This window comes from Homo sapiens, chromosome 19, assembly GCF_000001405.40.
Source record: "Homo sapiens chromosome 19, GRCh38.p14 Primary Assembly".
NCBI classification, from domain to species: domain Eukaryota; kingdom Metazoa; phylum Chordata; class Mammalia; order Primates; family Hominidae; genus Homo; species Homo sapiens.
The window spans coordinates 15,179,730-15,192,348 of record NC_000019.10 but is presented as its reverse complement, the minus strand read 5'-3'; the positions used below and the strand labels follow the sequence as shown (position 1 = coordinate 15,192,348).

General features: G+C 55.5%; 1 protein-coding gene across 2 annotated transcripts in view, besides 3 other annotated features; it reads left to right on the top strand.

The window, feature by feature from the left end:
- The window catches only part of NOTCH3 (notch receptor 3), a 41,958-nt gene that overhangs the window by 8,647 nt on the left and 20,692 nt on the right, over nucleotides 1–12,619 (top strand). The window contains exons 4-20 of one of the 2 annotated variants that reach the window (NM_000435.3): nucleotides 51–389; nucleotides 482–604; nucleotides 692–925; nucleotides 2,921–3,076; nucleotides 3,175–3,360; nucleotides 4,001–4,114; nucleotides 4,355–4,468; nucleotides 5,011–5,244; nucleotides 5,361–5,471; nucleotides 6,670–6,862; nucleotides 6,941–7,092; nucleotides 7,330–7,443; nucleotides 7,899–8,054; nucleotides 10,548–10,773; nucleotides 11,187–11,388; nucleotides 11,521–11,668; nucleotides 12,093–12,277. In NM_000435.3, the coding sequence (NP_000426.2) occupies nucleotides 51–389; nucleotides 482–604; nucleotides 692–925; nucleotides 2,921–3,076; nucleotides 3,175–3,360; nucleotides 4,001–4,114; nucleotides 4,355–4,468; nucleotides 5,011–5,244; nucleotides 5,361–5,471; nucleotides 6,670–6,862; nucleotides 6,941–7,092; nucleotides 7,330–7,443; nucleotides 7,899–8,054; nucleotides 10,548–10,773; nucleotides 11,187–11,388; nucleotides 11,521–11,668; nucleotides 12,093–12,277 (2,987 nt within the window). The remainder of the gene's footprint in view (nucleotides 1–50; nucleotides 390–481; nucleotides 605–691; nucleotides 926–2,920; nucleotides 3,077–3,174; nucleotides 3,361–4,000; nucleotides 4,115–4,354; nucleotides 4,469–5,010; nucleotides 5,245–5,360; nucleotides 5,472–6,669; nucleotides 6,863–6,940; nucleotides 7,093–7,329; nucleotides 7,444–7,898; nucleotides 8,055–10,547; nucleotides 10,774–11,186; nucleotides 11,389–11,520; nucleotides 11,669–12,092; nucleotides 12,278–12,619) is intronic. The other variant, XM_005259924.5, reaches the window with a different exon arrangement.
- Nucleotides 6,377–6,877: an enhancer, noted in NCBI's record as "H3K4me1 hESC enhancer chr19:15296283-15296783 (GRCh37/hg19 assembly coordinates)". NCBI's record gives its function as "activates a minimal SCP1, AML or CMV promoter by ChIP-STARR-seq in primed H9 embryonic stem cells {active_cell/tissue: H9 hESC(primed)}" and the evidence as "EXISTENCE:reporter gene assay evidence [ECO:0000049][PMID:30033119]".
- Nucleotides 10,126–10,644: an enhancer, noted in NCBI's record as "H3K27ac-H3K4me1 hESC enhancer chr19:15292516-15293034 (GRCh37/hg19 assembly coordinates)". NCBI's record gives its function as "activates a minimal SCP1, AML or CMV promoter by ChIP-STARR-seq in naive H9 embryonic stem cells {active_cell/tissue: H9 hESC(naive)}" and the evidence as "EXISTENCE:reporter gene assay evidence [ECO:0000049][PMID:30033119]".
- Nucleotides 10,645–11,164: an enhancer, noted in NCBI's record as "H3K27ac-H3K4me1 hESC enhancer chr19:15291996-15292515 (GRCh37/hg19 assembly coordinates)". NCBI's record gives its function as "activates a minimal SCP1, AML or CMV promoter by ChIP-STARR-seq in naive H9 embryonic stem cells {active_cell/tissue: H9 hESC(naive)}" and the evidence as "EXISTENCE:reporter gene assay evidence [ECO:0000049][PMID:30033119]".

The window sequence follows — 12,619 nt, the reverse complement described above, 5'->3', positions numbered from 1 at the left end:
TAGTCGGGGGTGTGGTCAGTCCTAAACTCACCCTGTCCTGGTCCCTCCAGGCCCTGACTGCTCCCTGCCAGATCCCTGCCTCAGCAGCCCTTGTGCCCACGGTGCCCGCTGCTCAGTGGGGCCCGATGGACGCTTCCTCTGCTCCTGCCCACCTGGCTACCAGGGCCGCAGCTGCCGAAGCGACGTGGATGAGTGCCGGGTGGGTGAGCCCTGCCGCCATGGTGGCACCTGCCTCAACACACCTGGCTCCTTCCGCTGCCAGTGTCCAGCTGGCTACACAGGGCCACTATGTGAGAACCCCGCGGTGCCCTGTGCACCCTCACCATGCCGTAACGGGGGCACCTGCAGGCAGAGTGGCGACCTCACTTACGACTGTGCCTGTCTTCCTGGTGAGTGAGCCCTACTCAGGAGAGTCAGAGGGGTGGGCGTGGGGACAGCAGGCCAGCCCGGCGGTGACCATCCTTGCCCCCTTCCCTGCTAGGGTTTGAGGGTCAGAATTGTGAAGTGAACGTGGACGACTGTCCAGGACACCGATGTCTCAATGGGGGGACATGCGTGGATGGCGTCAACACCTATAACTGCCAGTGCCCTCCTGAGTGGACAGGTGGGCACTGCGGCCAGAGGGAGCGGGGAGGCAGGCCTCGGGTGGACATGCGCCAGGTGGCTGGACTGCTGCATCTGTGTGCCACAGGCCAGTTCTGCACGGAGGACGTGGATGAGTGTCAGCTGCAGCCCAACGCCTGCCACAATGGGGGTACCTGCTTCAACACGCTGGGTGGCCACAGCTGCGTGTGTGTCAATGGCTGGACAGGCGAGAGCTGCAGTCAGAATATCGATGACTGTGCCACAGCCGTGTGCTTCCATGGGGCCACCTGCCATGACCGCGTGGCTTCTTTCTACTGTGCCTGCCCCATGGGCAAGACTGGTGAGTGGCCGTTTTCTCTGCAGGGAGCCATGGATGGTTTTTAGTGAGGGCAAATAAGAAGTCTGACTTGAGTGTTAGAAAGATTATGCTAGGCTGGGCACAGTGGCTCATGCCTGTAATCATAGCACTTTGGGAGGCCCAGGCGGGCGGATCACTGGGGTCAGGAGTTTGAGACCAGCCTGGTCAATATGGTGAAACCCCATCTCTACTAAAAACACAAAAATTAGCTGCGCGTGGTGGTGCACACCTGTAATCCAAGTCTCTCAGGAGGCTAAGGCACGAGAGTAGCTTGAACCCAGGAGGTGGAGATTGCAGTGAGCCAAGATTGCACCACTGCACTCTAGCCTGGGTGACAGAGTGAGACTCCTTCTCAAATTTAAAAAATAAAAAAAAGATTATGCTAGGCCGGGCACAGTGGCTCATGCCTGTAATCCCAGCACTTTGGGAGGCCAAGATGGGAGGATCGCTTGGGCCCAGGACTTTGAGACCAGCCTGGACAACATAGTGAGTTTTTGTCATCTCTACAAAAACTTGGTAGGCTGGGTGTGGTGGCTCACGCCTGTAACCCCAACACATTGGGAGGCCCAGGCGGGTAGATTGCTTGAGCTCAGCAGTTTGAGACCAGCCTGGGCAACATGGCAAAACCCTATCTCTACCAAAAATACAAAAAATTAGCTGGGCATGGTAGCGCATGCCTGTAGTCCCAGCTACTCTGGATGCTAAGGTTGAAGGATGGCTTGAGCCCAGAAGGTGGAGGTTGCAGTGAGCTGAGACTGAGCCACTGCGTTCCAGCCTGGGAGACAGTGTAAGACCGTGTATAACAAAAAAGAGAGAGAAAAAAAGATGATGCTGGAGGCAGCTTTAGTGGGGAAGTGTAAGCCTGGGAGAGGCTTGGGAGGAGGCTGACATTGCACTGATGCATGGCTCAGGGCAGAAGCCATTGGAATGGGGAACTCCTGGGAGTTACCTTTGGAAGTGGCAAAGATCAGAGAACATGTTTAGGAGGGGAACGTGGATATAGAAAGAGGGCATACATGGCAGAGGGTATTACAGAAGCAAAGGCTGGAGTGTAGGACCCTTTTGTAATCAGAAGAGTCAAAAGGTTTTAAAACAATATGTGGATGTTTGCAATTTATTTTATTTTATTTTTGAGACAGAGTCTCACTTTGTCACCCAGGCTGGAGTACAGTGGCATGATCTCAGCTCACTGCAGCCTCGACTTCCTGGGCTCAAGTGATCCTCCCACCTCAGTCCCCCAAGTAGCTGGGATTACAGGCGTGCGCCACCATGCCCGGCTAAGCTTTGTATTTTTTGTAGAGACGGGTCTCACTATATTGCCCAGGCTGGTCTTGAACTCTTGAACTCAAGCGATGCACTCACCTTGGCCTCCCAAAGTGCTAGGATTATAGACGTGAGCCACTGTGCCCGGTCTGCAATTTATTTTTAAATGGTTTAGAAAAGAAGATTGGTAGATTAAGCTAACAATAGTTGAATCTAGGTGGTGGGTATATGAATGGTCAACTTTTCTGTATGTTTGATAGTTCTCATAATAAATGGATTAAAAAAGCAGCTACTAAATACTGTTTAGGTTTAATAAAAACAACAGGCCGGGCGCGGTGGCTCACGCCTGTAATCCCAGCACTTTGGGAGGCTGAGGCAGGCAGATCACCTGAGGTCAGGAGTTTGAGACCAACCTGGCTAACTTGGTGAAACCCCGTTTCTACTAAAAATACAAAAAATTAGCCGGGCGTGGTGGCACATGCCTGTAATCCCAGCTACTCGGGAGGCTGAGCAGGAGAATCGCTTGAACCTGGGAGGTGGAGGTTACAGTGAGCCAAGATCGCGCTATTGTACTCCAGCTTGGGCAACAAGAGCGAAACTTCGTCTCAAAAAACAAAACAAAACAACAACAACGACAAAACAATACTCAAGGGGTGTGGGCCTTTTGGGCAGAGCAGGAAGATCTGCCTATGACTTCTGCTTACCACTTCCCAGGCCTCCTGTGTCACCTGGATGACGCCTGTGTCAGCAACCCCTGCCACGAGGATGCTATCTGTGACACAAATCCGGTGAACGGCCGGGCCATTTGCACCTGTCCTCCCGGCTTCACGGGTGGGGCATGTGACCAGGATGTGGACGAGTGCTCTATCGGTGAGGGGAGCTCCATCGTCTGTGAATGGGCTGGGAAAGAGGGGAGAGGAGGGGGTCCCGGCCAGCCACGCCCACACCGATCGCACTCCATCCGGCAGGCGCCAACCCCTGCGAGCACTTGGGCAGGTGCGTGAACACGCAGGGCTCCTTCCTGTGCCAGTGCGGTCGTGGCTACACTGGACCTCGCTGTGAGACCGATGTCAACGAGTGTCTGTCGGGGCCCTGCCGAAACCAGGCCACGTGCCTCGACCGCATAGGCCAGTTCACCTGTATCTGTATGGCAGGTGGGTGGTGGGCGTGGCCTGGGCGGGTCCTGAGGCAGGGGGCGGGGACAGAGAAGCCCGCGGATGGGGAGCTGAGCAGAATGGGGTGTAAGTGGGTTTGGAGTGGGACCCTTAGAGACTGAAGCCTGGAAGGAGGTGGGGTCAGGACCAGAAGGGAATACTGTGTGATTCTGGGGGCTTGGTCAAATGGAGTCAGTAGAACCTCAGGTGGGCTGGGAGTATTCTTGGCCTTAGGACCCACTCGGGAAGGGGTTGGGGATAGAGAGGCAGAGTCGGGGCTGCTGTGAGGTCAAGGTGAAGCCTGCAGACAAGCTTGCAGTAAGCCTGGGCAAAGGCTATGGGGGGCCCTGGGGCTGGGGGCTGGGGACTGGGGAAAGGGCTTAGTCTGAGGACTGGGGAGAGGAGGAGGGGTTTGAAGGCAAGGCCTCTGCGGACACCCATGAGCCTTGGGCCAGTTGGGACCACGGCTGGGTGACAGTCCAGCCTGTGGCTGAAAATTAAGGTTGGGCTGGGAGTGTAGAGGTGGGGACGAAGGCTCGGGGGATTTGTCGATGAGTAGGAAGGGAAGTACCTCCTTCCTTGCACCCCGTTCACACCATAGGGTAGCCCCCGCTTTCCTAAGCCCTATTCCCTGCCCCAGGCTTCACAGGAACCTATTGCGAGGTGGACATTGACGAGTGTCAGAGTAGCCCCTGTGTCAACGGTGGGGTCTGCAAGGACCGAGTCAATGGCTTCAGCTGCACCTGCCCCTCGGGTGAGGACCTCAGGAGAGGGAGCCCGAAAAGACATGTCTGGGAAGGGGCAAAAACTCCAGGGTGGGAACCTGTAAAACCACGTTAGCGGATAACTTACAATAGAAACCATATGTTATGAAACATTGAAGTTAATTTAAATCCAAGTAAATGGGTTTTTCCACCCAAACAAGGCGGGGCTGGAGAGGGGTGTACTGCTCTCACCCTTTCTGGGCCTCTGCTCATCCCACTCCCCACCCCAGGCTTCAGCGGCTCCACGTGTCAGCTGGACGTGGACGAATGCGCCAGCACGCCCTGCAGGAATGGCGCCAAATGCGTGGACCAGCCCGATGGCTACGAGTGCCGCTGTGCCGAGGGTGAGGCGGGCCAATGACAGTCCGACAAGAATCAGGAGGCGGGGCTTGTGGGCGACAGGGCCAATAACAGACTTGGGGAGAGCTTGGGGGCGGGGTTGTAGCAAGGCAGGACCCAGTGACAGAGTTGGGGGGTGGAGCCAATAATGCATATAGACTGACATAAGGCTACGTGTGGAGCCAAAGTGTTGGGCTGGGCACAGGGTGCCTGTAACTGAATGGGGAGGGCCCAATACCTTCCCCTGGCACCTGCCATGTGCTCCCATCTCCAGTGGAGGGTGGGGCAGAAACAGGGCTGGAGGTGGGGCCACAGCTGGGGGCGGGATTTAACTGTGGGAGAGTCTTGGCTAGGGACAAATTCTGGAGCTTGTAGTGGGGTGGAGTGGAAGTAAGTGGGGGGTGGGGGGTGGGGCCTGTATTGAGCTCGCCTCCTGACAGCTTGATGGGCAGGGCCTCAGATAGAGCTGAACCAGGATTGGTCCGAGGCCTCACTTGTGGGCAGGCCCCTGGCAAGTGGGCGGAGCCTGACCCTCTTGGCCCCACAGGCTTTGAGGGCACGCTGTGTGATCGCAACGTGGACGACTGCTCCCCTGACCCATGCCACCATGGTCGCTGCGTGGATGGCATCGCCAGCTTCTCATGTGCCTGTGCTCCTGGCTACACGGGCACACGCTGCGAGAGCCAGGTGGACGAATGCCGCAGCCAGCCCTGCCGCCATGGCGGCAAATGCCTAGACCTGGTGGACAAGTACCTCTGCCGCTGCCCTTCTGGGACCACAGGTGGGACCGGGGGCTGGGGCAGAAACAGCACACCTGGAGGGGCACAGAGGGTTTGGGAATGGTGCATCTAGTGGGGCACAGTGGTGGCCACTCCATGCCATGTTCCTGGCCCCTAGGTGTGAACTGCGAAGTGAACATTGACGACTGTGCCAGCAACCCCTGCACCTTTGGAGTCTGCCGTGATGGCATCAACCGCTACGACTGTGTCTGCCAACCTGGCTTCACAGGTGGGCAAGTGGCTGCCATGAGAGGGGGTCCTTAGATCGAGGGTGAAGTCACTCGTCTCTGTGGGCCTGTTTTGCCCGTATCTTTGCAGACTCTTGTCCAACGAGGTTGTCCGTGCTTTGCCCTGAGTCTGTGCTGTCTCATTGGCATAAGGTTGTTTCGAGATTATTCTGCAGGCTGGGCGCGGTGGCTCACGCCTGTAATCCCAGCGCTCTGGGAGGCCAAGGCAAGTGGATCACTTGAGGTCAGGAGTTCGAGACCAGCGTGGCCAACGTTGCGAAGCCCCATCTCTACTAAAAATACAAAAATTAGTCGGGTGTGGTGGTGGGCGCCTGTAGTCCTAGCTACTCGGGAGGCTGAGGCAGGAGAATTGCTTGACCTCAGGAGGCGGAGGCGGCAGTGAGCCAAGATTGTGCCACTGTACTCCAGTCTGGGCGACAGAGTGAGACTTCATTTCAAACACACACACACACACACACACACACACACACACACACACATACAAAAACAAACAAAAAGATTATTCTGGAACATAGATGAAAGTGTCCAAACTCAGTGACTAGGTTATTTCTGAATGGGTCTAAACTAATCCTTAGTGGAAATGAATGTGACTTTGCTAGGTGTGTTGGCTCATGTCTGTAATCCCCCAGCACTTTGGGAGGCTGAGACATGAGGATCACTTGAGCCCAGGAGTTCGAGACTAGCCTGGGCAACATAATGAAACCCTGTCTCTACAAAAAATAAACACACTCCCAAAGCCAGATTAGTCAATACGTAGATAAACACGCACACACATGCACACACAATTAGCCAGACGTGGTGGTGCGCAACTGTAGTCCCAGCCACTCGGGAGGCTGAGGTGGGAGAATCGCTTGAGCCCAGGAAGTGGAGGCTGTGGTGAGCTATGATCATGCCACTGCAGTCCAGCCCGGGCGACAGAGTGAGACCCCATCTCAAAAAATAAGAAGAAGAAGAAAAGAAAAAGAAAGGGACTTCATGGAAGTTTGGGGACCAGAATGATCTGGGGCAAGTCAGCTCTTGGTTGAGGAGGCGGGTGTCCTAATCTGCACAAGAGCTGATGCGTTATGAAAAAGAGGTCATTGCTCGGGGGTGTGGGTGTGCTAAGTGGGGTCACGTCGTCCCTCCCTGGTTGTCCCTGCTGACTTTGTTCTGAGATGAGATTGCTTGTGTACTCCCCAGGGCCCCTTTGTAACGTGGAGATCAATGAGTGTGCTTCCAGCCCATGCGGCGAGGGAGGTTCCTGTGTGGATGGGGAAAATGGCTTCCGCTGCCTCTGCCCGCCTGGCTCCTTGCCCCCACTCTGCCTCCCCCCGAGCCATCCCTGTGCCCATGAGCCCTGCAGTCACGGCATCTGCTATGATGCACCTGGCGGGTGAGGGCCCTTCTCAGCCTCAGACACTGCCCCCTCTCCCTGGCCCACCTCCCTGGCCTGACTACCTTCCCCTGCCAGGTTCCGCTGTGTGTGTGAGCCTGGCTGGAGTGGCCCCCGCTGCAGCCAGAGCCTGGCCCGAGACGCCTGTGAGTCCCAGCCGTGCAGGGCCGGTGGGACATGCAGCAGCGATGGAATGGGTTTCCACTGCACCTGCCCGCCTGGTGTCCAGGGTGTGTACCTCACCTTCCCTCTGCAGCCCCACCAACACCATGGGCCTTCTCATCTCTCTTCTCCTCTACTCTCTCCTCCCGCTATGTTAGCTTCTTTTTTGCTTTCAATCATTTCCCTCCAGGAGCTTGGGAGGTGGGTATCAAGGTGGGGACCCTGGGGTTGGGGGAGGTGGGGGGAGATGGGATCAGGGAGTCCCTCAAGGCTATCTCTGCTTCCCTCTCTTCCACCCCCAACAGGACGTCAGTGTGAACTCCTCTCCCCCTGCACCCCGAACCCCTGTGAGCATGGGGGCCGCTGCGAGTCTGCCCCTGGCCAGCTGCCTGTCTGCTCCTGCCCCCAGGGCTGGCAAGGTATGCCACCTGCTTCTCTTCCCTCCTCCTCTCCATCTCCTCTGCCCCCTACCCTATCAGGGATGATGCTGGGGATCCAGAGAGGGACCCATCCCCAGCCCTGCCTTTGAGAGGGGCTTCCTTCTTGGAAGGACAGAGCTGGACACTGATATGCAGCCTGTGTGGGTCAGCCCTTGGAAGAGGAAGAGTTATGGGGCTAGAGATGCTGGGACTTAGGGCGGGGTTTAGGGTACAGCTTCCTGGAGGAGCAGACCTCATAGTAGGTATTTGCCACCTACTGAGACAGGGAGACGGCCATTCTGAAACTGCATATGCAAAATGCCCAGACACGAATGACAGCACGGCTTATTTTGCCTTCACCCATCTCGGCCTGCAGGTTCTTCCTGAGCCCCAGGTCCCTGAGACCCTGCTCTGTACCCTGTAACCCTAGGTGTAACCTTGCTCCCTACCCCCAGGCCCACGATGCCAGCAGGATGTGGACGAGTGTGCTGGCCCCGCACCCTGTGGCCCTCATGGTATCTGCACCAACCTGGCAGGGAGTTTCAGCTGCACCTGCCATGGAGGGTACACTGGCCCTTCCTGCGATCAGGACATCAATGACTGTGACCCCAGTGAGTGCAGGGGAGCTCTTGGGGGTGCTGCTCTGGGGAACACAGTCATTAAGCTTGAACTGTGTGCCTGGCACTGTGCTGTCATTTCATCTTCACAGTTATCTTACTTTTCCCGTTTTATTTATATGGAAACTGAGGCCCGAGGAGGTTGAGTGACTTCTTGTGCAAGCCCATGGAACGAGTTAGGGAATGAGCTGGGCTTAGAACCTTGGAGTCTGTGTGCTGCCTCTTTTTTTTTTTTTTTTTTTTTTTTTTTTGAGACAGAGTCTTAGCTCTGTCGCTGGAGTGCAGTGTTGCAATCATCGCTCACTGCAACCTCTGCCTTCTGGGCTCAAGCACCTCAGCCTCCCCAGTGGCTGCGACTATAGGCGCACACCACAGCGCCCAGCTAATATTTTGTGTTTTTTGTAGAGACGGAGTTTCGCCATGTTGCCCACGGTGGTCTCCAATTCCTGGGCTCAAGCAATCTACCTGTCTCCACCTCCCAAAGTGCTGGGATTACAGGCGTGAGCAACCACACCCGACCTAAGTGCACTGTCTTTGAGAGCAATCGAGTTAATATCATGTGCAAAGTATGAGATAAAAGGCCCCCCAGAGGCCGGGCGAGGTGGCTCACACCTGTAATCTCAGCACTTTGGGAGGCCAAGGTGGGCGGATCACCTGAGGTCAGGAGTTTGAGACCAGCCTGGCCAACATGGAGAAACCCCATCTCTACTAAAAATACAAAATTAGCAGGGCATGGTGGCGCATGCCTGTAATCCCAGCTACTTGGGAGGCTGAGGCAGGAGAATCACTTGAACCTTGGAGGTGGAGATTACGGTGAGCTGAGATTGTGTCATTGTACTGCAGCCTGGGCAACAAGGCATAACTCCGTCTCAAAAACGAACAAACAAACAAACAAACAAACAAAAAGGGGTGCTGCCAAACAGATAAATAACACAAGCCACATATGCAATTTTAAATTTTCTAGTAGCCACATTAAAAAATAAACAGAAATGGGAGATATTAAATTTAATATTTTATATTTATTTATTTATTATGTATTCAGAGTGAGGCTCTGTCGCCCAGGCTGGAGTGCAGTGGTGCGATCTTGGCTCAGTGCAGTCTCGAACTCCTGGGCTGAGGCATTCCTCCTGTCTTAACCTCCTGAGTAGCTAGGATTACAGGCACTCACTACATGCCTAGCTAATATTTTTATTTTAATTCTGTAGAGATGGGGTCTCACTGCGTTGTCTAGGCTGGTCTCAAACTCCTGGCCTCAAGCCATCCTCCTGCCTTGGACTCTCAGACTGCTGCCACTGTGCCTGACCAAATTTAATATATTTAAATTTAATTTATTGAATGTATATAATCGGCTGGGCGCAGTGGCTCACACCGGTAATCCCAGCACTTTGGGAGGCTGAGGCAGGTGGATCACCTGAGGTCAGAAGTTTGAGACCAGCCTGACCAACATGGAGAAGCCCCGTCTCTACTAAAAACACAAAATTAGCTGGGCGTGGTGGCACATGCCTGTAATCTCAGCTACTCAGGAGGCTGAGGTAGGAGAATCACTTGAACCCGGGAGGCGGAGGTTGTGGTGAGCTGAGATCGTGCCATTGCACTCCAGCCTGGGCAACAAGAGCGAAACCCCATCTCAAAAAAAATAAAAATAAAAATAAAAGTAAATAAATAAATAAATAAATAAATGTATATAATCTATTTAACCCAATATATTAACATATCATTTCAACATGTAACCAGTATAAAATTGTTAATGAGATATTTTACATTGTTTCCTTTTTTTTTTTTGAGACAAGTTCTCACTCTGTCGCCCAGACTGGAGTGCAGTGGTGCGATCATGACTCACTGCAGCCTTGACCTCCCAGGCTCAAGTGATCCTCCCGTCTCAGCCTCCCCACTAGCTGGGACTACAGGTGTGCACCATCATGCCCAGCTAATTTTTGTATTTTTTATAGAAATGGGGTCTTGCCATGTTGCCCAGGTTGGTCTCGAACTCCTGAGCTCAAGTGATCTGCCCACCTCGGCCTCCCAAAGTGCTGGGATTACAAGTGTGTGCCACCACGCCCAGCCTATTTTTTTTTTCATACCAAGTCTTCAAAATCTGAAACCCAGTATGTATTTTACATTTATAGCACATCTCCATTTAGTCACAATTTCAAGGACTCAGTAGCCACATGTGGCTAATGGCCACTGTCCTTGTCCTGTTCCAAGCACAGGAATTAGATCAGGCACAATTAGCAGCGTTTGCTTGGCAGCTTAAAGGGACCTTTTGGTTTTCCCAACATCCTGCCCTTGCCACATAGGTGAGGTTTCCAGATAAAGGAGGGGACGAGGCCACAGAAGGGGATGGATTTAGATTCCTCTGACCAAATGCACCCCATCCCAGTTGAACCTGGTTTCCTCCTGAATTCTTCTCAATCCAAGGCATATCCCAGTCAGACTGGGCTAATGGGGGCAAGGTAGGTGACCAGACCGCCTTCCTCCTGTCCGCAGACCCATGCCTGAACGGTGGCTCGTGCCAAGACGGCGTGGGCTCCTTTTCCTGCTCCTGCCTCCCTGGTTTCGCCGGCCCACGATGCGCCCGCGATGTGGATGAGTGCCTGAGCAACCCCTGCGGCCCGGGCACCTGTACCGACCACGTGGCCTCCTTCACCTGCACCTGCCCGCCAGGCTACGGAGGCTTCCACTGCGAACAGGACCTGCCCGACTGCAGCCCCAGGTGGGCGGGGCCTCTGCTTGGAGAGCAGGGACTCTGGCTTGGGATGGGGCCTGGGACCTGGGACGAAGTGGGGACAGCAACGACTTGGGGGAGTCCTCAGCTTGGTACCCACTGCGGACTCTGATGACTGATGGGGCAGGGCCAGGGAAGGAGCAGGGCGTCTGTTTGGAGCTCACCTTGGAGTCTCTGGTGCCTGAGAGGGCATGGCTTCCAGGTGGCTCTCACCTTAGGGCTGAAGTCCCTGGTGAATTGGAGCTAAGGGACCTGATTGGCTTCTGCTGGGGCTGCAGCTTCTTGCCGAGATAAGGGTCAGGGAGTGGGACGTCCCCAGCGCTAACAGCGGGACTCAGGAAGGAGGGCAGGGCCTGTGAGGGGGCGGAGCCTGATCCTCCCTCCCACTCCTTCCGCTCCAGCTCCTGCTTCAATGGCGGGACCTGTGTGGACGGCGTGAACTCGTTCAGCTGCCTGTGCCGTCCCGGCTACACAGGAGCCCACTGCCAACATGAGGCAGACCCCTGCCTCTCGCGGCCCTGCCTACACGGGGGCGTCTGCAGCGCCGCCCACCCTGGCTTCCGCTGCACCTGCCTCGAGAGCTTCACGGGCCCGCAGTGCCAGGTGGGTGGAGTTACTGGGGACCTGGGGGAGGAGCCTGCCTGGGATCCTAGGAGGGAGAAGCCAAGTCGGGGCACAGTTTCTCCCAGACTACCCCCCACCCCACAGTACTGACTCTGAGTGCTTCCCCTCCAGACGCTGGTGGATTGGTGCAGCCGCCAGCCTTGTCAAAACGGGGGTCGCTGCGTCCAGACTGGGGCCTATTGCCTTTGTCCCCCTGGATGGAGCGGACGCCTCTGTGACATCCGAAGCTTGCCCTGCAGGGAGGCCGCAGCCCAGATCGGTGAGTGGGAGCATGTGGGCGGGCGTGTGGGGCCTTGGGAAGGGGCTCATGCACGTACCTCCTGCTAGTGTGAGCCGAATGGGGGTGCCACAGAGCCTATGGGGCATGATGGGGTGTGTGGCTGAGTGGTGTGGGTGTGTGAGCATGTGACAACTGGCCGGGATGGTGTGTGTCTGTCACTGTGAGACAGCAGGGATGGTGTGTGTGCTACAGGGTGTGACCGAGCTGCTGTGAGCGTTGAAGGCATGTGTGTGTATGTCAGTGATGAGACCTTGCCTGCTGGGGGGATGTGTGACAACCTGATGGAGTGTGGGTGCGATCCTGGGGACTCATTCCACCAAGGATGTTGAATGATCTGTGTGATGGAGGCAGAAGGGGGATGTATGGGGTTACCTCTGTTCCTGTGCCACTCTCCTCTTTGCAGGGGTGCGGCTGGAGCAGCTGTGTCAGGCGGGTGGGCAGTGTGTGGATGAAGACAGCTCCCACTACTGCGTGTGCCCAGAGGGCCGTACTGGTAGCCACTGTGAGCAGGAGGTGGACCCCTGCTTGGCCCAGCCCTGCCAGCATGGGGGGACCTGCCGTGGCTATATGGGGGGCTACATGTGTGAGGTAAGGGGGCGCTCCCCAGGAGAGGGAAGAGGAGGTGGGCATGCTTGGGTGCGTCTGGGCACACATTTCTGTGTGGCTTGGTATGGGTATGTCTCTAGATATGTCTGAGTTTTTGCTTTTGTGACTCTTGGTGTATCTGTGGGTGTCACTCTGGGTAGATCTGGGGTGTTTTTTTATTTGTTTGTTTTTTTGAGACAGGTTCTCACTCTGTCACCCAGACGAGTGCAGTGGCGCGATCTCAGCTCACTGCAACCTTTGCCTCCTGGGTTCAGGTGATTCTTCTGCTTCAGCCTCTCATTATAGCTGGGAGTACAGGCACCCACCACCACGCCCAGCTAATTT